Genomic DNA, 22,922 nt, shown 5'->3' on the forward strand with positions numbered 1-22,922 from the left:
ATTGATAATCCTGAGATCTTGCACTAACCTCCACTGTCCACTGGGTTTCTGTGCTCCTAAAATTGGAGTATTGCAGGGCTGTTGCATGGTTTTACTAGACCTTGGGCTTTTAGGTCCTTAACAATTTTTTTGAGTCCTTGTTGGGCCTTGGTTCTAAGTGGGTACTGCCTTTAGGGGGAGGGAGGCAGAATCCTTTAGTTTAATTTGAACAGGATGGGCATTCTTTCCTTGTCCATATTGTCCTCCTGTTGCCCAGACTTCAGGATTAATTCCTTCCTCAAGCACGGGACAACAAACGGGTGTTCCTTCTCCTATGTTCAGGTGTGTAATGGCCCCTGCTTTTGCTAGAATGTCTCTCCCTAACAAGGGAGTGGGGCTTTCAGGCATAATTAGAAAAGCATGTGAAAAGAGTAAAATTCCCTAGTTACAACTTAGTGGCTGGGAGAAGTATCTAGTGACTGGCTGTCCTAGGACCCCTCGGATAGTGACAGATCTGGAGGACAGTTGTCCGGGACAGGAGAGTAAGACTGAGAAGGCCACACCAGTGTCCAGGAGACAGTTAACCTCCTGGCCCTTAATGGTCAAGCATACCCGGGGCTCTGTGAAGGTGATGGCATGGGCTGGCACTTCCCTGGGCACCTTCAGTCCTGCTGCTGGATCCATCTGGTTAGTGGCTTCTGACTCAGAGGACCTTCATCCCCTGGGGCAATTGGCCTTCCAGTGATTCCCTTGACATAAGGGGTATGGACAAGGGGGCAGCTTATTTCTACTTGGACAATCTTTTTTAAAGTGTCCTCGTAGGCCACACTGGAAGCAAGCCCTATTAGGCATTCAATTTGCCCAGCTTTTCCCTTTTCCAGAGTCTCCAAAGTCCGCTTGCCTGAGGGCCATGACTAAAGTGGTGGCCTTTTTTTTTTGTCCCGTTTGTCCCGTTCTGCCTGCTCCTCCTGATTTCTATTATAAAAAAACCGAAGTTGCCAAGTTCAATAGGGTTTCTAAGTTTTGCTCTGGGCGTAAGGCAGACTTTGAAGTTTTTTCTAATGTCTGCAGCTGACTGAGTGATAAACTTATCCTTTAAGATTAGTTGGCCTTCAATAGAGTCAGGTGACAGAGAGGTATGCTTTCTCAATGCCTCCCTTAGTCTCTCCAGAAAGGCGGTAGGATTTTCTTCCTTTCCCTGTGTTATAGTGGACATCAGTGAATAATTCATAGGCTTCTTCCTAGTTTTCCTTAGTCCTTCTAGCACGCAAGTTAGCAAATGTCTGTGGCACCAATCTCCATGTTCTGATTCTGTGTCCCAATGAGGGTCTACACTGGGAACTGCCTGCTGGCCTGTGGGGAATTGTTCTCTTTCCTCTGTTGTCATCCTATCATTGACCTAACTGAAATACCAGAGATTGCCAAACTCTTGGGCTGCAGTTATGGCAGCACTTCTCTCATTTGGGGTTAGTGTCTGATTTAGCAGTAACATTATATCTCTCCATATCAGATCAAAGGATTGTCCTAACCCTTGTAAAGCATCAGTATAGCCATCAGGGTTATATGAGAATTTACCTAGGTCTATTAAGTCTGAGAGAGAAAAAGGTACATGCACTCTGGCTGGACCAAATTCTCCTCCTCCCACTGCTTGGAGTGGGCATAATCGGGGAATATTGGCACTCTTTGGTTTGTTGTTTACCCCTTTGTCTATCTCCTTTTGTACCGTTTGGGTTGAAAGGGGGTCCTTATTAGTTGGGGAAGGAGTCGGGGGGACGCTGGGGTAGGGAGGTAGACTCTGAGGGCTTCCTGTAGGGCATAAATCACACTTTTTACATAATTGCGAGTTGTCTCTTAATGAAAAGAAAGTTTGTACATATGGCACTTCACTCAATTTGCCTTCTTTTCTACAAAAGAGATCTAGCTGTAAGATGGTGTTATAATTTATACTTCCCTCAGGAGGCCAGGTTTCTCCCCCTTGAAGAGGATATCATGGCCAGGCAGTACTGCAGAAGAATATAAGTCATAGCGTCTGAGGGTCAAATTGGTCCCAGTTCTCCAGAATACATCTTAAGGGCATTTTTGCCTTGGAGAGAACATTTCTCTTCTGGAAAAAGAACAGGGATGCCAGCACCCCTACTCATTTTCCAATGAGCATTAGTCCTAGAGCGTCCTTTATGGTCCTAATGCTTATTCCTTTCCAGGGTGCGTCACCACCCATGGACCTCTGTTTATCGGTTTAGTTACACTCACCGATGTAGCAGTCCTGCACCTGTTTTCTCACCTTTCTTGACCACAAAGAAAGGGGTCCAGAGTGCTGGATTCTAGTCCTTTACCAGTGTGCCCAACGTTGCCTTTGTGCTCAGGGGTGAGTCCTAGAGCTGGGCTGGGTTCCTGAGTATTTCATAACAACCCAGCTGCCCCATCAAGATGCATTCCCATAAATAGTTCTTATGCAAATTCGTTTCAGAGAGGGTGTAGGTAACCTTTAGAGTCAGGATTGAGATAGTCTTTTTGATTCTGTAAGTACTTTAAGGCTTGGCTGAGTGCAAACAGCTCTCACGTTTGAGGAGACCAATTATTAGGCAATTTTTCTAACTCTGCTTCCACAAGATCCTCGCTATCAATTACTGAATACCCATTGTGGCTTTTTCCTCAATCACCTGGAAGGAACCTTCTATTGTCCTGAAGGGAGTTCCTCCTAGGTCTGGTTGGTCCTTTGTATGGTAATTAAGATTTAAATCCCCTGTAAGGAAATCTGCTGGGTTAAGTGAACTATCAGTGGTGTTAAATTACCTTTTTCTAACAGAATAGCCCCATACTTTAAGATTTTTGAGTTAGTAAGCTACCTTTTTGCTTTTTTGACTTAGAATAATTCTGAACTGGTGAGGTGTGCTCACAATGAGGTTTCCTCTAAAAGTTACTTTCCTACTTCTGTTAGCAAAGCAGTTGCCACTACAGGCTGAATGCCTCTGGGCCGTCCGTGGGTTACTGGGTTAAGGATTTTTGATAGGAAGGCTAAGGGTTGTCAGTGGTCTCAGTATTTTTAGGCTACACCCTTGTTTGCACTGACAACAAGGTAGTATTGGAGTGTTATAGGGTCACGGAGAAGACCTTCAATTATCAATTATAGGTTTTAAATTTACCCTGGCTTTTAAAGGAATAGGGCACACTGGTTTTTTACTATTTCTATCTTTCTCTTTCTCTCTTCGACTCTCTTTTTCTCCTCTGTCTCTTTCGCCTCTCTGCCTGTTTCTCTCCTCTCTGCCTCTGTCTCTCTCCTCTCTGTCTCTTTTCTCTTAGCCATTTACAAACTTGGGGCCCTGGCAAGGGTGATGGGGAACGGATCCTACATAACTGCCCATGTCGAGAGCTGTATGCCTAAATTGGGAGGGACAAGACACCAGGGACAAGACTCCCTGGGTTTATAGCCTAGATGCCTAAGGACGCAGCAGCGTAGAGCTTCCTTAGATCCCTTTGGAGATACAACTTGCTAGAGGAAATGAAAGTCTGAATCATTAGTACCTAGGAGGCAGGGATCAGAGGAAGTAGATTCAGAGGTAAGAAGAATTTGGGGGCTACACTTTCAAGAAAGTCGTGGTCGGGACCCAGGAGGTATGGGTTAGAAGGAAAGGTAGGGGTGCACGCATGGGCGACTGTTGAATAGAGACTTCTGGCTGTGCCATGATCTCAACTGGCTAAAGCCGGGAGTTCGGGACGACAGCTTTCTTACTCTAGTCGGCCCTTGGCTTCCCCAAGAAAATTGAAAGCGGAAGCTGGTTCTAGGCAGACGAATGCTCCCAACCCAGAAGGGTTGGGAGTTGTTAGAAAGCCCTTTCCCAGACAGCCTCACACCTGAGTCTTAAGTCTGGCAGCCATGCTAATCATTTTTAACTGGCCGACAGGTGCCCAGTATTTTCCTCCAATTCTAAGGAAAGATAGGACAGAATAGCAAGCAAAAGTGGTCCAATATTACTCACTGCTTTGGAGGTCCCTTCGTGGTCGCCAAAATGTTACTGGGGGTCCTTGCTCCCAGGGCTCCCAGGATGGTGGTGGGCCGCTTCCAAGATGGTGGCAAGCCTCGTGTTCTCTGACCTTGGGTTCTTGGCCTCATGGATTCCAAGGAATGGAATCTTGAGCCATGTGGTGAGTGTTAGAGCTCTATTAGAAGCCGTGGGTCACGGAAGAGAACCCACAGAACCCAGTGACTAGTATTGAGCTCGATTAGGACGCACCCGGGCGCTTAGCCGTGCAGGAACAATGGCAAGCCTTTAGCCCGATCAGGAACGGCAATGGGCAACTTGCTGGATCAGGAGCACAGCGGACACTCTGCCGGATTGAGAGGGATGGAAGTCAGCAGCGGGTCTGCGATGGCAGCAAACAGCAGTGGTGGACAGCGAGCGAAAACTCAGCTCCAGCCATAACAAACACAGACCAGAAGAGTACAGTTGCAAGATTTAATAGAGTGAAAACAGAGCTCCCATAGAAAGGGAGGGGACCCAAAGAGGGTAGTCCGAGTTTGTTTATTTTCAATTTACATGAGGTGTGTTTCATGCATCCGTGTGAAGAGACCACCAAAGAGGCTTTGTTTAAGCAACAAGGCTGTTTATTTCACCTGGGTGCAAACAGGCTGAGTCCAAAAAAGGAGTCAGCAAAGGGTGGTGGGATTATCATTGGTTCTTACAGGTTTTGGGATAGGCGGTGGAGTTAAGAGCAATGTTTTGGGGGCAGGGGGTGGATCTCACAAAATACATTCTCAAGGATGGGGAGAATTACAAAGAAACTTCTTAAGGGTGGGGGAGATTATAAAGAACATTGATCAGTTAGGGTGGGGCAGAAACAAATCACAATGGTGGAATGTCATCAGTTAAGCTATTTTCACTTTTGTGGATCTTCAGTTGCTTCAGGCCATCTGGATGTATACGTGCAGGTCACTGGGGATATGATGGCTTAGCTTAGGCTCAGAGCCCTGACAAGGTGTTGCTAAAATTTTTGCTTCTGTGTTTTCAGCTCCTACAAAAATACTTGGCTCATAGTATATGCTGAAAAAAATAATTGTTGGATTAGTTAATTGTTTTCTGAAGTAGTTTTCTCAATTGTCATTCCTACTAGTCTTATGTAAGAGTTCTTCTTGCTTCATATACTTTACATTTATTCTACATTATAATATAGTTTGAAGTATTTCTACCATCTTATTTTTTATTTTTGTTCTCCTTTTTTTATCACTTATTTTATTCCGCCTTTTTATTGTATTCTTTTGGTTTGATTATGTTTGATTATTTAATTAATTGCTTTTGCATTTTACTTTTTACCTCCAACTTGTTTGAAAATTATGTCTTCTCTTGCTATTCTTTTAGTGATTTCCTTAAGATTTTAACATGCACATTTAACTTAAAAGTCTAAGGTTAATCAGAATTCCTTTGTATATACAAAGCTCTACAATACATTAATTCTGATCCCCTGCTTCTCAATTTGTATACCTGTAATTGTCCAATATTTTAGTTTTGGCGTATCTTTGTTTAGTCTTACAAATTATGAATTATTAATATATTTGTTTAGCTTTATAAATTATGAATTATTATTATAATCTTGTAGCCAATGATAATTTAGAATTACCTGTGTTTACCATATTCTTTATTCATTGTTCTGTTTTGCATTTCTGACGTTTTGGGTGGTCATTTTCCCTTTTCTCTAAGTAACCCCTTTAAATGTTCTTTTGGTATAGGTTGATAGAAAACTCTCATTTTTTTTATTTTTCTGAAAATATTTTGCCCTCATTTTTGAAAGAGAATTTTATTGGGCATATAATTCTAGGGTCACAGTTATCGTCTCTAAGATTTTTGTAGCTCTTATTCTCATTTTTTCTGGTTTCTGTTGTTGCTGTTTTGAGAACTCAGCTGTCGCTCTGTCTTTATTTTGTAATGATCTGTCTTTTCACTATGACTGCTTTTGAAAATATTACCTGTTATTGGTGTTCTGTATTTTCACCTTGGTGTATCCAGGTGTTGATTTCTCTTATGTTAGCCTATTTAGGATTTTTCAGGCTTCGTAAATCTGAAGATTTATATCTTTTTTAGGTTCTACAAAATTCTCAGCTAGCATCACTTTGAATATTGCCTCTCTTTAATTCTCTTTATTATCTGTTACCCGTTCAATTACATATTTATTAGACAGACTCGCTCATCTTCTATGTCTTTCAGGCCTCTCCTTCATATTTTGCATCTTCTTATCTATCTGTGCTGCATTTTCAACTCTTTCTTCTACACATTATTTCTCTGCTTCACTCTCTTCAACCATCTGCTATTTCACATATTCATTGAGTTTCTAATTTGTTATTGTCTACCTAGTATTGTTATAATATATTTTTCCTAACTTTTATTCTTGATTCACCTTTTTAACTTAAATATGTTAAACATGTTCTATGTCTAACTATACAGTAGCTGCAGTCTTTGGCTGTCAAATCTGTTTGTTTGTTTGTTTGTTTGTATTTTACTTTTGCTTATGATGTCATATTCCCTCATATGTTGTAAATTTTTTTTAATTATACTTTCGGCCGGGCGTGATGGCTCACACCTGTAATCTCAGCACTTTGGGAGGCCAAGGCAGGCGGATCACTTGAGGAAAGGAGTTCGAGACTAGGCTGGCCAACATGGTGAAGCACTGTCTCTACTAAAAATACAAAAATTAGCCAGGCATGGTGGCATGCACCTGTAATCCCAGCTACTTGGGAGGCTGAGGCAGGAGAATCTCTTGAACCCAGGAGGCAGAGTTGCAGTGAGCTGAGATCATGCCATTGCACTCCAGCTTGGGCAACAAGAGTGAAACTCCATCTCAGAAAATAAAAATTAAATTTAAAAATAAAATTATACTTTCATGAAAAATGGAATTTTATCTTTGCGAATTTTGAAGCTAATATATGAAACCTCTGGAAAAGATTTACATATGTATGTTTCTTAGACATCAGGAACTACTGGAACTAAATTCCCAAGTTGTGATTTTTCCGGCTATAAAACTATTGTACTTATCGCTATAGTTATACACTCTGAGGAAAAATATTTTTTCTTCCACCCAGACCTAAGGAAGACATATTCTGTAATGTCTGTAGGACTTTCTTCTTAGTTTACCATTTTACTGAAAGTGTTCACTATGAGGTTCCAGCATTGTTTGGGTGATTTAATCCTCCTCCCTGCATTAGGCCCTAGGTGCTTTCCTCTTGCTTGCAGGTTTTAAGCCATCAAGAATTAGCAGATTCTTGGGGTGGGCATGGTGGCTTATGCCTGTAAATTCAGCACTTTGGGAGGCCAAGGCAAGCAGATCGCTTGAAGCCAGGAGTTTGAGACCAGCCTGGGCAGCAAAATGAGATCCCATATCTCAAAAATTTTTTTAAAAATTAGCCAGTTGTGGTGGTGGACACCTGTAGTCCCAGCTTCTTGGGAGGCTGAGGGAGGAGGATCCCTTGAGCCCAGGAGTTCCAGGCTGCAGTGAGCCATGATCATGCCACTGTACTCCAGCAAGAGTGAGATCCTATCTCTAAAAATAATCATAATCATAATTTTTTTATAAAAGGAATTAGCACCCATTGTCTTTATGCTCACTTACCTCTGCGTATTGTTGTTTCTTCATAAATTTTGGTATCACTCCCTCTCCTAAGCCGACCCAAGCATTTAAGGTGTTTGTGGATGTTATTGTTTATTATTATCTAGTAGTTTTTAAAAACTTTACTGGCAGGATTCCTCCAGGATCTTTTCTGTACTATCAGAAATAGTTACATTTTAACTTTCACATAAATTATAAAATGTTACTATGTTATTTTTTAGAAAAAAATGAGGATTTCTTAAAAATTTATCAAACGAAAATGACTCAAGAATAGTTTCACAATATGTATCAAAATTTGAATTTTGCCTATGATTTTCAGGCAATAATTCCTCATTTAAGAAATTTTCCTAAGTAAATAATTGGACAGGGGCACAAAGATGTATGTGGAAGGCTGTTCACAGTGGCATTGTTTATATTAGTGAAAAATTCATGGCAATCAATAGGAGCTTGATTTAATAACACATGATATATTTAAGAGCTGTGTTCATTGACATGGAATGCCTTTTTTTTTTTTCAGTTCTGTCCCTTCTGTAGGAGTGCCTTTTTAAAATAGTTTTGTTCATCAATAAAATCCTGAAAGCTTTATATACCAAAATATTAATAGTGGTTGTTGCTTGCTAGTGAACTTTTAGATGTTATTCACTTCTTTCTAGATTATTTGAATTTCTCTAATCATGAAAACATAAAATATGCAGTATCAAGGCATATATACTTTCTGTTATTTTTTTTTTTTATTCTACCCTACTCCTTTCCTTCATTCTCATGGCAATGAAGGAGGTTGTCAGAAGAGGTTGTAAGTGAATCCAATTCAGCCATCTTAGATTACCAAAGATTACAAAGTTATTTATTTTTACTCAACAAATATTTATTGTTTACTTCCTCTGGTTGAGGCATTTTAGTGTTTTGGCACTGTAAAATTGGTGGTATACAAGACAAAAAGTTGTTTCCTGGTATTTATAATTCATTGTAGTGGGGGAAGTAGAAAATTCAAAAAACAAGTGAATAACAAGAGTACATGTCAGACAATAAGACATGGTAGATTATTTCAGATTGATAGTCACGGAAGAGCTGTCTGAGAAGGTGAAATTTAAACTGAGACATGAAGCGTGAGAATTATGGTGCTAGGGAAAAACTTCTGAGATATAAGGGAACAATTAATGCAAAAGTACTAAGACAGGATGGAGCCTGGACTATTTTAAGAAAAAAGAAATGTGTTCCTGGCATCATGTGATCAAGGGAAGGAGTGGTACTAACGACGTAAGTCAGGGAGATAATCAGATTATTTCTTTATAGGCCAAGGTGAGGTCTCTGGATTTTATTCTGAGTTCAGTAAAAAGCCATTGAGCCATTTTTAATAGGAAAGTGACCAATGTGTGTGTATATATGTTGGTGAGTGTACATTTTTTGACTCTTCATTGTGGAAAATTTCAAATGTATATCTGGAAAATGATTTTTGCCTAGTAACAACTAAATGGCATAACTTACAGCCATAAATGTTTAACTTGGAGTTTATGAGCCCCAGAAATTCTAGATTAAAATTTGCATACATGGCTATATTCTGGGAGCGGGTCCGTAGTTCTTAATGGACTTTCAAAAGTATCTATGTAATCCTTGAACAGTTAGGAACAGAACTTCTAATTCTGGCAACATTGTATAATCCAGGAAATCCAGAAGCCACTCCTGCCATGAATATAGGGTTGAGTCTCCCTTATCCAAAATGGTGGGAACCAGAAGTGTTTGAAACTTTTGATATTTTCAGATTTTGGAATATTTGCATGTATATGTAATGAGATATCATGGGAATGGGACCTAAGTCTAAACAGGAAAATTTACGCCTGAGAAACATAGCCTGAAAGTAATTTTATATAATGTTTTAAAATAGTTTTATCTATAAAACAAAGTTCATTATACACTGCACCATCAGAAAGCAAAGGTGTGGACTCAGCCACCCGTGTGGACAATTTGTGGTGTTGTTTTGGCACTCAAAAAGTTTTGGATTTGGGAGCATTTTCGATTTCGGATTTTTGGATTAGAGATGCTAAACCTGTATATAGAAACAATGAATAAAATAAAGAAGTTTTTAAAATTTATAGTCAAGCTAGGAAGGAAGAAAAAAAAGAAGAATGGGTGAGAGGAGAGGAGGGATGGAAATCTCACAACAGAAGTGTGTGAGCACTTGTGTGAGTACTGACATCATATGGCTCAAGGAATGACTCAGACTTAGATATTGGGGCTCAGTTTTAACATGGCCTCAAGCCGTTTTCAGTTGGAATTCTAGAACTGGTATCTTTACTTAGAGAAACACAAGATTCTGCAAGGGCTGGTGGCCCTTTTCCAAAAAAAAAAAAAAAAAAAAAAAAGAAAACACTAGAGAAATGCTCCAACCCAAGGAAAATACAGATAACCCCAAAGAAAGATGATTGGTACAAATGAATGGACTATTTACAAAAGTAAAAAAACTGATGGCAGTTAAATATATGAAAAGATGCCCTCTGCGAAAATGAAAATAAAGCAGCAGTGAGGTACAATTGCCTACTCATTAAGTGGACAAACATGGAGTAATTCTTCACAAAGATATAGAGAAATAGCTGGGAACTCTCATGTGATACTCACGGGATTGTAACTTTAGAGAACAATTTGGCAAAACTGAACCTGCTCACATCGTTTAACCTCACAATTCTACTTCTGGACATATACACTAGAGAAATTCTAGTGCCACCACATAAGGAGATATGTACAATGCAGTAGTAGTCAGAGCTTTTCAGCTATATCAGGTTCTCTTCCTTGTCAGCCGGTGATAGAATTGTACTTTCCCATGTTCTTTAATAAAGAGCCAGCGTGCAATTCATCATATTTCTTTCCTCTCTGCTATAGCAGGCAGCAAAACTTCTGATGGTGGAGGCTTTGACAGCTGGGGTTCCTAAGTGAAAAATACAGAGAAAGAGAAACCAGCTGACTCACATTGGATATGTAACATTAGCAAGGAGAAAATGAACCTTTGTCATTTCTAGGTTACTAAGACTTTGGGGTTAGAGAAACAATGGTGTAACTAGACCATCCTGACCAATAGATACAAGAATATATCAGCATTATTTCAAAGAATAAATGATAGGAGACAGCCTAAATGTTCATCAATAAAAGAACTGATAAATCCATGGTAGCATGATTATTATCATCATTATATGAGGAATACTATATGGTAAGGAAAATGAAGGAACAAGAGCCTCCTGCATCAGCCCAAATTTCACAATGTCATGTTTTAGTAAGTTATAGATGGCCGGGCACGGTGGCTCACACCTGTAATCCCAGCACTTTGGGAGGCCGAGGCAGGTGGATCACGAGGTCAGGAGATCGAAACCATCCTGGCTAACACAGTGAAACCCCATCTCTACTAAAAAAAAATACAAAAAATTAGCCGGGCATGGTGGCGGGTGCCTGTAGTCCCAGCTACTCAGGAGGCTGAGGCAGGAGAATGGCATGAACCCAGGAGGCGGAGCTTGCAGTGAGCCGAGATCTCACCACTGTACTCCAGCCTGGGTGACAGAGCGAGACTCCGTCTCAAAAAAAAAAATTTAATTTAATTTAAAAAAAAGTAAGTTATAGATATTACTGTTGTCCTTATGAAATAAAACAAAATTATAGGAGAATACTATGAATAATTATATGCCATCAATTAGGTAAACTAGATTAAATGGAGAAATTCCTAGAAAGATGCAAACTACCAAGACTAACTCAAGAAGACATAGAAAAACTAAACAGACTATAACAAGTAAAAACATTGAATTAGTAATCAAAAAAACTTTGTACAAATAGTTCCGGCCCATCTATTTATTTCAGGAATGCAAAATTGGTTTAATATAAGAAAATCAATATAATACCATGTTAATAAAATAAAGGACAAAACCACATAATAGTCTTTTTTTATTAAAAGCAGATACTTGATTTTTTAATTCTTTTACGTGATGGTCTCAATAGACACAAGAAAAATATCTGAGAAAACCTAACACCCTTGCATGATAAAAAATACCCAATAAACTAACAATAGAAAGGAATCTCCTAAACCTCAAAAAGAACATTTATGTAAGCCTACTGCTAACATCATGCTTAATGGGAGAAAATTGGATGGTTCCTTCCTAACATCAGGAATAAGACAAGGATGTCTGCTTTACCACTTCTATTTTATGTTGCGTTGGAGGTTCTAGCCAGGATAATTAGACAAGAAAAAGAAATAAAAGGCATCCAGATTGCAGGAAGAATTAAAACTATCTCTATTCCCAGATGATGTGATCTTGTATATAAGAAATCCTAAGGAATCCACCACAATATTATTAGACCTAAAAATGAGTTCAGCAAGTTTACAGTATACAAGATCATATATAAGAAGCAATTGTATTTCTATACACTAACAATGCACAGTGGACAATCTTTTACAATAGCATCTAAAAGAATAAAATATTTAGGAATAAATTTAAAAAAAGAAGTGCAAGACATATATACTTAAAACTACAAACCATCATTGAAAGAAATTGAAGAAGACCTAAATAAATGGAAAGACGTGTTGTGCTGATGAATCTATGAGCTTAATTATTAAGATAGCAATACTCCCCACGTCGGTATACAGATTTAATGCAATCTTTATCAAAATATCAGTTGGCTATTTTTCAGAAATGGATAAGGTGACCCTAAAAGAAGGATCCATTTGTATGGAAATGCAAAAGACCCAAAATAGCTGAAACAGTCATGAAAAAGAAAAAAGTTTTTTTTTCCCCCCAAGATGGTAGATTAGAGCGGTATTAGCATGCCTGTCCTCCTTGGAAAGACAAAATAGTGTATAGATATTCACACTGTGAACCTTTTCCCAAGAAGCAACATAGGAACTTAACAGGAAAATGGAATAAAACCCCGAAACCCTTTGAAAGAAGCAGGAGGCTGCAGCCTACACTATGAGCCAGCCAAAAAACTAAGTCCCAAGAGTGTAAGATGGGTAGAGATACACACCCCAACTGGGGAACCTGGCAGTGTAGCTCACAGGGGAAGGCATTAACCCTACCCAGCACTGGAACTCATATAGGGGGCAGTGGGAAGAGCATAGCATGCATTTGCAGTCTATGGACCGAAGGAAGCTATTACTGATTCTATATTACAGGGGACTTTGTGGAAGTTGGCCAACTAACCCAGGCAGTGGTTGCAGGTTGAGAGAAGCTCCCAACTGAAATTCACAATATAATCTCAAATGCAGATGAACTCTCTTGTCGAGAACCAGGGGGCAAATGGGAAGTATGCTGCGGCCTCAGGCAGAGGAGCTTGGGCACCCTGGCTTTGCAAGTAGACTGGAAAGGGTGTGGCCTGAAAGCCTAGGGTTCCCATCTCTATGTGAAAGTCTTATGACCTGGGGCAGTTTTGATTTTAGCTAGCTGAAATTTAGCTAGCTGCTGCTAGCCAATACCGCAAGTGAGAGACCTGCATTGCCAAGTGCATGGGAGCTAGATGAGGCTTACTGCCACCTGCTACTCCCTACTCCCTGTGTGAACTCTTCTGTGCAGCAGAGGCACCTATGCTTCTACCTAGAACAGTACTGCCCGTGGCCAGAGAACCACTCTCCAAACCCCACAGGGGCCACTGCTTGTCCTTCAGGTGGAGTCAGAGCACGGACTTGCCTGACCTAGCTCCCCCTGACTTTGCCCCTCCACCCACTCTGGTAGCTTAACACAAGGGACAGAAACTTGTGGGAACCCTATGGCCCTTCCTATCGCCCAAGATACTAGAGTACGTCCCTTGAGTATCATAAGGCAAGCACAAAGGAAGTGAAATAATGGACTTTGGAGACTCAGAAGGGGGATGGTGTGTGGGGCAAGGGATAAAAAACTACATATTGAGTACAGTGAACACTACTCGGGTAAACAGGTAAACTAAAATCTCAGACTTCACCATTAATACAATTCATCTATGTAATCAAAAACTACTTGTATCCCAAAAGCTATTGAAATAAAAAAAGAAAAAAGTTGAACTCACACTTTCTGATTTGAAATATGTAGTAAGCCTTACTGTAGAGTGAAAAAAGCAAGTTTTAGAAAACTATCTGTAGCATTTTTATGAAGCTAAAAAACCAGTAAAACAAAGTAACATGTTAGGAATACATATGTATGTGATAAAACCATTTTAAAATAAACAGATCAAGAATGATAAAGAAGAAATCAATAGTTCAGAATTCATTAGTATGGTTACCTCTGGTGAAATACCATATCCATATTGTGATATGAATCCAACAGTATTCACAGTTTTATGCTGCTTAAGTGGATTCATAGGTGTTTTATTGTCCTACTTTAAAACTCATGTTTTTTTACATATATGCTTTTAGTATATACCAAATATTATATAATAAAAAATTCATGGGAATAGTAAATCAAATATATGATAAGTCTTACCTCTGGGAATAAGTTCAAAAGGGGTTTTTATATGTTTTGGTTACATTCAAAAACTGAAGTAAATATAGTTGACTGCTAAGCTTTAATGAAGCAAGATAGTAGATATCTATTACTTTATTATAGTATGTCCTATAACTTCTGTATTAATATTTTATAATTTTTTAAAAAATCCAGATAATTCTTACAGCTGCTGAAGTCATTGGCATAAAGCAAAGAGCACTAGCACTTTGTAGCATTGTGTTCCATAGTGAAAAATTGTGTATAATCTAAATGATTATCAGAAGGAGAATGCTTTAAAAAAAGTTCACTTCAGACAGTGTACAAACATAACAATTTTAAAAAGCATGCAATATTTGTAAAATGTACAGAATAGAAAGGAGTAATATATTGATAATTATTAACACTATAGTGTGACAATTTTTGCAAAAAATCCACAATTTATATAAATTTATAGGTACTATATTCATAGAAAAAAACCTGAAAAATTAGACACCAATTGTTAATATGGCAATTGTCTTCAGAGCAGTGGTTCTCAAGGGCAGGGCTGCAGTTTTTCTTCTTGGGACATTTGGCAGTGTCTGGAGACATTTTTGGTTGTCACAGCTGGAAGATAGAGACCAAATTCAAAATCAGTAAAGATACTTCTTAAAACCTCATGTATGAAAATTTAAAACATATTTTAAATAATTTGTGAGTCAAAAACATTGCTAATAAACATGTAAATGATGTTTAATTGCACTTGTAATTAGGGGAATTCAAATTAACAAACAGCATACTATTTCAAATACAACATTGACAAAATAAGAGTGGAAACAGCAGATGCTGTTAAATCTCAAAAAGGAAAAAAAAGAATGTAGAAAAATAGAAATGCTTATTCACTACTGGTGTGCATAAATTAATGAAGCCAGTTTGGAGAACAATTCAACAATATCTAATAAAATTGACCATATGTCCCCTATGGCTTAGCACTTCCTTTTCTAGGGATATAATGTAGAGAAATTTTCACACATTTTTACAAAGAGACATGTATAATGTTCTGTAATTTAAAAAAAAAAGCAGATTGGAGTAGTTATAAAAGCCTGTTAATCAGGGAATGGATAATAAATTACAATAAATTCATACAACGGATTACTGTTCACAGTTAAAATAAGTGAACTAGTTTTGCAGACAATATTGAGCAATTATGAAATCATAAAATTGAGGTAAAAATAAAAATAATTTGTAGAGTTACTCTTTAAGATTATGCTTTTGAGGTAAAAGCTTAAATGCACAAAATAAGAGTACATATTATTAGGGGATACTTGCTTATGTAGTAAATGTCATTAAATTAAGACCAGGAAGAATACTTAGGATAGTAGTTCCTGCTGAGGAATAATTTATAAAAACTTTTAACCGAATATATAGTTTTATTTATTGAAAATATATACATAAATTTTAAGTACATATCAATGAGTAATTGATGATAGTGAGTATATAGGTGTTCTTTGTATTATTATTTTTTGTGTTTATATTTGAAACATTTTTATAACTGAAGAGAAAAAAATACAGAAGCTAAAAATCATTATGCCATGTTATACAATGCAAATACTTGACTACTATACGAGATAAGCAGATGATGCTAGACTAAGCTTAAGAATCATTTTTGAAAGAATCTTTCCTGATATTCTTTCTCCATTCTTCTTTCATTGTTCCCAAATTGCTCACTTACAGATTAACCAGTTGCTTTGTGTATTAATATACCCTATACATACTTCTATTAAATTATGTGTTTTACTTATTTCTTTACAGTTGTTCTCACCCTTGAGACCGTAAACTCTTTGGGGTGAGAGACTATATTTCATTTATCTATCACCTATGCATAGTTTAGTGGCTGACAAATAGTAGGCACCAAATAAATTATTTGATGAATGAATTACTAAATGATTGAACGAGATTCTAAAGGAGGAAGAAATATGTAAGAGATAATTACCAATACTAAACTTTGCCTACATTTTAGTTTTGATGTGATCGACACTATATATGCTCTTGCCATATCCAATAATAGGACATCCAATTAGTCCCTTTGTGTTAGTTAAGATTAGATTTTGCTATATATAACTGGCGAACTCAAAATAACAGTAGTTTCCTTTAGAAATTTCTTTCACACCAAAAAGAAGCCTGAAAGAAGGTAATCCAGGGCTGCCGTGGAGGTTTCAGAGTATCAGGGACCATGTTCCAATTATCTTTCTGTTCCACCATCTTTACTGCGGTACCACATGAACCAAAAGAACTGCTCAAATTCCATCAGTTCCTCTTTCTTTCCTTCCTTCCTTTCATCTTTTTTCTTCCTCTTTCTTTCCCCTTACTAATCCGCATGGACAAGAAGTGCTTACCCCGACTTTTGAAAGGAGACTTCCTAATAGTACTCTATGGCACTTCCCCTTGTATCTCATTGGCTAGTACCTAGTTAGTTACATGGCCGCATGGAGATGTACAAGGGGCTGGGAAATGTCTTTTAGCTGCATGGCAGTGTTTTCAGCCGAAAATTGTGGTTGGTTCGGTTACTAAGGAGCAAGGAGAGAATGGACATTGGAATACAATTAACAGTCTCTGAATTTTTAATCACTAATGGATACCAAAACGAGAAAGAACTTTTCCCTTAAGGGGAAGAGCCTGATGAAAGAGAGAAGTAAGTGGCAGAGAAAGCTTTTTAGTTTACTATTTGTGTAAGCCTGCCCCTAACAAGCCAAAAATTAGAAGATTTTATGTTGAACCTAATTCCTATCAACTTCAGTTCTGCTCTCAAAGGCAAGATGTTAACCAAATATAATTCATGTTTTAGAGTGTCACTTGTAAATCTGATGTAGTAGGATTCTTTTGCCATTTTACATGTGCCAAATCATATAAACTAAGAAATAGTTTGATTTTTGGTTCTAGGACAATGTCATAAATTTGGTATTAGCTAAAGTGCTAGTCTTGGGGAAAAAATGAGGTAGTAGTAAAATCAGGAAGCTAATCTTCAATAGGCACTTAATCCATAAAGAGCTGACTTCCCTTGGGTGTTTAATCCTGGTCGACTGTTTCTGGTATTGATTATTTTCCCTGGGTTGTAAAGTTTGTAATGAAAAGTTTTATTCTTTGGAGATTTGAAAAATTGCTTTTCATGAGTCCTTTATCTTCCAGGCTCTAAATTATCTTGGTATTCAGCCCACAAAGGAACAACACCAAGCCCTGAGACAGCAAGTACAAGCAGACTCAAAAGGGACAGTGTCTTTTGGAGGTAATATTAGGTTTATTGTGTTGTATTATCACTGAATCATCATTCAAGAGTTATGGTGACACATTTTCATTAAGAGTGTTTGTTCTTTAGAAGGAGAGAATGAAAAGTAAAACTACATCCATTTCAAGGTCCTTAATCAGTACCCAAAGAACTCAGCTAGAATTACTGACCTGGCAGGGTCAGCAGAAAGAAGAATTTCATTAGGACCTTTCAGCTCTAAAATATCATCATTCTGTCATATTCTTTTTATTTTTTATTTATTGCATAAACATTGCTTTAGTAATAACAAAAGAAACAGTACAAAATATGGAAGTTCTAATTTCACTACTGTGAGATTAATTCGAATCCTTTTTCAGCTAATATAATATAGTAAATATTTTTATGATGCTACCTAATTAGAGTCATCCCTTGGTATGGGAGGGGAATTGTTTCCCGGACCCCTGCATATACCCAAATCCAGCCATACTCAATCTCATAGACAGCCTTGCAGAACCCACATATAGTAAAAGTTTACCCTCCACATATGTGGCTTTTCCAACCTGCAAATACTGTATTTTTTATGCATTTGGTTGAAAAAACTTGATGTATAAGTGAACCTGTGTAGTTCAAGCCTATGTTGTTCAGGGGTCAACTCTATTCTTATTAAAGATACCATAATGTACCACTTAGTTATTGTACTATAATATTAAGCCTTTCTACTATTGTGAATTTTGATAGTTTCTCAGTAGCTGATATTACAAATCTGTATTTATCAACATTATGAATGTAGCTGTTTTTCTTTCTTAAGCCAAATCCTCACAAATGATTTGGACTTTTGATACATATTGGTAAATTGTTTTTCAGAGATATTTTGCACATATATTCGTTCCACCACCAGTAATGTTTGAATATAACACTTTTTGTCTTCTTGTCACTATTAAGTAATTTTTTTCTTGTATAATAGATGTAACATTGTATTATTTATAAAGCATCTGTATTGCTGAAAAAAAATTGACCTTTTGGTTTTTAAGTGATGAAAAAAAGATATTTTTCATCCCATCTCCACTTGAAAATCATCCCAAAATAATAATGAAAACAAGAAACAGAAAAACACATACAAGTAAAATCACAATATCTAAGGACAGAAAAATGGGTGAGGAAAGTAAATTTGTGAGCAGAGGCAGGTAAAGCCCAAGTGTGTGAAGATAGAGGAAAATCACAATGAGGAACAAGTTGATTTGACCCTAAAATGATTTAAGAATTGAAGACATCAAGTACTTCTGGAGACTGAGTTTTTAGGCAGGATATTAAAACAGGATTGTTGGAAATCTTTATAAGGAGAATTATGCATGCTCTTCTCTGCTCTTTCTCAAGTAGTCCGGCATCTCCCACCGTACACCTCCAGGAGAAAAGAAGTATATTCCTTTGAGAAATTAAACCAGAGATCGTGGACCTATAGTTGCCAGCTGCAAGGGAGTTTGTGGAGTATATAGTGAGTCATCACTCGTAATATGCACCCAGATTGCTCAGGGAACTTTGCTGCCATGTTTATTACTATAGGCAGAAGACTATGGTATTCTCTCTGAAGAAGCTGAACAGAAATGTCAGCTGGCCACCAGATTGCCCTGTAGTGAAAGCTGCCAGTTGACAAAGCAAGTTACACACACAAAATTTCCAACCAACTTTTTTAGTGCCCGATTCTTAAATATGAACTCATAGTCAAGAGTCACCAGAGATTTGGAGAAATCCTCCAACATAAAATATAGAACCCAAAACTATCAGACAAACAGAAAAAAGGAACTCAGAAAAAAAGAAATAAAGAAGCACAGAAGAGAATTTCAGGTAGGAGGTCAGGTGCAGTGACTCACACCTGTAATCCCAGCACTTTAGGAGGCCAAGGTGGGTGCGTCACCTGAGGTGAGGAGTTCAAGACCAGCCTGGCCAATATGGTGAAACCCCGTCTCTATTAAAAATACAAAAATCAGCTGGGCATGGTGGTGCACGCCTGTAATCCCAGCTACTCAGGAGGCTGAGGCAAGAGAATCGCTTGAACCTGGGCAGTGGAGGTTGCAGTGAGCCAAGATCGTGCCACTGCACTCCAGCCTGGGTGACAGAGTGAGACTCCATCTCAAAAAATAAATAAATAAATAAAATAAAATAAATAAATAAATTCAGGTAAACTCTCATAACATCTTTAAAGAGAAAAGTGAAGGTAATGCAACCATGAAATAAAGTAGGATATTGTAAAACAGGAACAATCAGAGAATATTTAAAAGAATCCTTGGAAATTAAAAATACAGTAGCCAAAGTGGAAAATATTTGAGGATACATAGATGAGTAAGTTACTCTCCTTGTCAGAAGAAGCCTATGAACTGTTCTTTTTCCTCTTTGCCACGTGGCCTTGGACAGTTGAAGGCATTTAACCTGTCTCAGCCTCAATTTTTTTCATCTGTAAAATGGACAGGATAAGAGGACCTACCTCAGAAGACTGTTGGGAGGATGAAATTGCTAAGCACTGTGCCTGCCATACAGCAGCGGTTACATAAACATTATCTGCTGCTATTAATAATTGCTATCAAACCTCAGGTTCTTCCAGCTAGAAAAGCCATAAATCATAATATTGTCAAATGTTTCAGAAAAAGTTCTACTCATAATACAAGGGTTGAAAAACTATAGGTCCATGATATATATTTGCTTTATTATTATCTTAGCTGAATTATTAATTTTAGCAAAGTTAACTGAAGTAAGTTCAGACCAATTTGTCTCTTCTTATTTGAAATTACATTTACCTATCACTTCAGTCAATACTATTTTAAGATAATTTATGTGGGTTAAATTTGAAACCTTAGCAACTTCATATAGAATAAAGTAAGATTTAGAAGGGGTTAAATGCCATGTTCTTACTTAAATGTGTTCCATTTTAGATTTTGTCCAGGTTGCCAGAAACTTGTTTTGCTTGCAGTTGGATGAAGTAAATGTTGGTGCACATGAAATTTCCAATATATTAGATTCACAGGTAGAGTATGCCCTATAGAATTGCTTTGACATGTATAAGTCACAAGTCTTGAATGTTATATGTCATATGTGTAGGCTTTTTTCACTTAAAAATAGAAATAATACATGTTTCTTGGATAAATATATAAATACAAATCAATTTAAAATCAAAAGTAAAAGTTCATCCTGATATTCATTCTCCTCTCTCGCTAGCCTCTTGTGCTACTATCACACCTAAGTTTACCAGTATTGACAATTTGATATGTGGAGGATACGTGCTATAACTAGCTAGCTAGACAAACTGACAGATACCATGTGTGCATGTGTCCATTCTAATCTGTTTTATCTCTCTATAATATACACATAGAAAAGCACCTATATAATGTATATATACTATGAAATTTTATAGCCTAAACCATCCTTATTTAATTAGCATCCAGATCAAGAAACATAATATTAAATAAATACATTACCAGATGCTCTCCTGCCCCCAGGTTCCTTTTTGATTGCTAGTAACACCCCTGTACCCCCACAAAAAATTGGGTAACTACTCTTTCACCTTCTAACAATGTAGATTGGTTTTGCCTCTTTTTGTGCTTTATGTAAAATGGGATTGTGAAGTCTATTAGCTTCAATCATGTGTTCTATAGAAGTTTGACATTTATATTATTGAATATTTTAGTCCTTTTCATTGTGGATTTTTGGTAGTTTTATCCTCTTAAGGACCTCCTTCTTAATTTATGTTCTATATAATTTGTATATTTAATTAAAAAATTCATTCATTATGCATGGCAAACCACCTGTTTTTGTTCCACCATCATTTATTTAAAAACCCATCTTCATTTTTGCCATTGATTTGAAATGCAAACTTTATCATATACTAAATTTCTATCTAGATACACAGATCTGTTTTTCTATCTACCATTTGAATGTTTCTTACCTTAAAATCGACTTAGTCTCATGATATAGTTATAACAACTTTTCATTGGTTGATTTTTTTTTGGTTTCCAGTGATTAAAATAATTGGATATATAAATACATATATTTTTAAAAGAAACCTGTTATTATACAATTCTTTTAAATGTTACCAGTAGAATATAAATACTACAGTATTTTATACCCATAACCATCTATTTCAAAGAAAATTCATGCATTATCCTTTTATGCTCAAAATTTTATCTTTTCTTTTTCTCTGTTAGCTCTTATTTCTGTTCCATATAGACCTGGAATCTTATCCTGATAACACATAATTGTATGCTTGCGAAATGATCACCCTATCATTTTGCTGCAAAAAAACTTTAAATGAATTAAAATGATTTGTTTTATTTTCCTATGTTTATAAGGCTTTACAAATTAAAATTTTCTTCCATATTGAATTATAATTATACTTATTATTGGTACATAATTAATAAAATTAGAAATCTGACATAACTTTTGATCAATCATTTTTATGAACATATTAAAAATATAAATCTGTATTTTAATGGGATGAAAGAATTCTTTTCATGCCAGCTCTGTCCCTTATGAAATTACCATATTTACCTGGGAATTTCTGGACTCTTTATTCTGGTGGCTTCTTGGCTTCATAAGTCTTGATATCTAATAAGATGTTCTCGTATCTTATTTGTGTTTATCTTATTTACTTTTAATTGACAAATAATAATTTTATATATTTATTGTGTACAATATGACTTAGAATGTGTATACATTGTGGAATGGCTCAATTGAGCTAATTAACATATGCTTTACCTCAAATAATTTATCTTTTTTTATAGTGAGAACACTTAAAATCTGCTCTCTTAGCAATTTTCAAAATGCAATACATCGTTATTAACTGTAGTCGCCATGTTGTACAATATATCTCTTGAACTTTTTTCTGCTGTCTTATGGAAATGTTATGTCCTTTGACATCACTTCAAACTGCCCCCCAGACCTCCTGCCATTCTTTTAAAATATTGCTTTGGCTAATCTTCAGTCTTATCTTGTCCATATGAGTTCCATGAAAAATTTTGCTCTGTTGAATTTATAGATTATCTTGGGAAGAATCAACGTCTTTATAAATTTAAGTTTCTGTGAACATGTTATGGCTTCTCATGTATTTATATCTTCTTTGATGTCAATATATCTTATATATTTTTAATTAATTATATTTTAATAATCTAGTCACCTTACGCTTTTTGTTGCCATTAAAATTAATGGTATCTTTTAAAAATTTGTTTCATTTTAAATTTATTTGGTTTTACATAAAATTAATTTTTATATTTACCTTATATCTTACAACCTTGTTATACCCATTTGCTTTTTATTTTCCAGAAAGTCTTCAACATTTTTTGTTCTAATGACACCCTTTCTGAGTTGCTAATAGTCTTATTAACTTATATATTTCTTTATTTTTGTTTCTGTTTTCAGATATACTTTTAAATAAATGATATGGTCAGTCAGGTTCTTTGAATGCTGCTAGAAACCCTAAATTCAAGCAGGAGAATAGATATGTTACATATTTTTAATAACTTTTTCTTTTAGTTCAAGTTTAAAAACAAAAATTGCACTTTTATTTCATGGTTATATTTAGAGCTCTACTGTTTTCAAGTGATATGCTTTACTGACAGGAAGTTTGAATAGTGTTTATTATTAATTACATGATTTCAAATTCCAGAAACACAGAGTATATAAATATATAATTAATTTATTGA

The 22,922-nt window shown here is 36.6% G+C and overlaps 1 protein-coding gene across 15 annotated transcripts in view; it reads left to right on the forward strand.

The window, feature by feature from the left end:
• The window catches only part of STXBP4 (syntaxin binding protein 4), a 244,509-nt gene that overhangs the window by 45,244 nt on the left and 176,343 nt on the right, over positions 1-22,922 (forward strand). For all 15 annotated transcript variants that reach the window (XR_007065289.1, XM_047435714.1, XM_017024410.2 and 12 more), the window contains 2 exons: positions 17,160-17,256; positions 20,160-20,251. Coding sequence is in view for 14 of the 15 variants with exons in the window: in XM_047435714.1 (XP_047291670.1) it covers positions 17,160-17,256; positions 20,160-20,251 (189 nt within the window). In the remaining variant the exon portion in view is untranslated. The remainder of the gene's footprint in view (positions 1-17,159; positions 17,257-20,159; positions 20,252-22,922) is intronic.

The sequence above is a fragment of the Homo sapiens genome, chromosome 17, assembly GCF_000001405.40.
Source record: "Homo sapiens chromosome 17, GRCh38.p14 Primary Assembly".
Taxonomy (NCBI): Eukaryota; Metazoa; Chordata; class Mammalia; order Primates; family Hominidae; genus Homo; species Homo sapiens.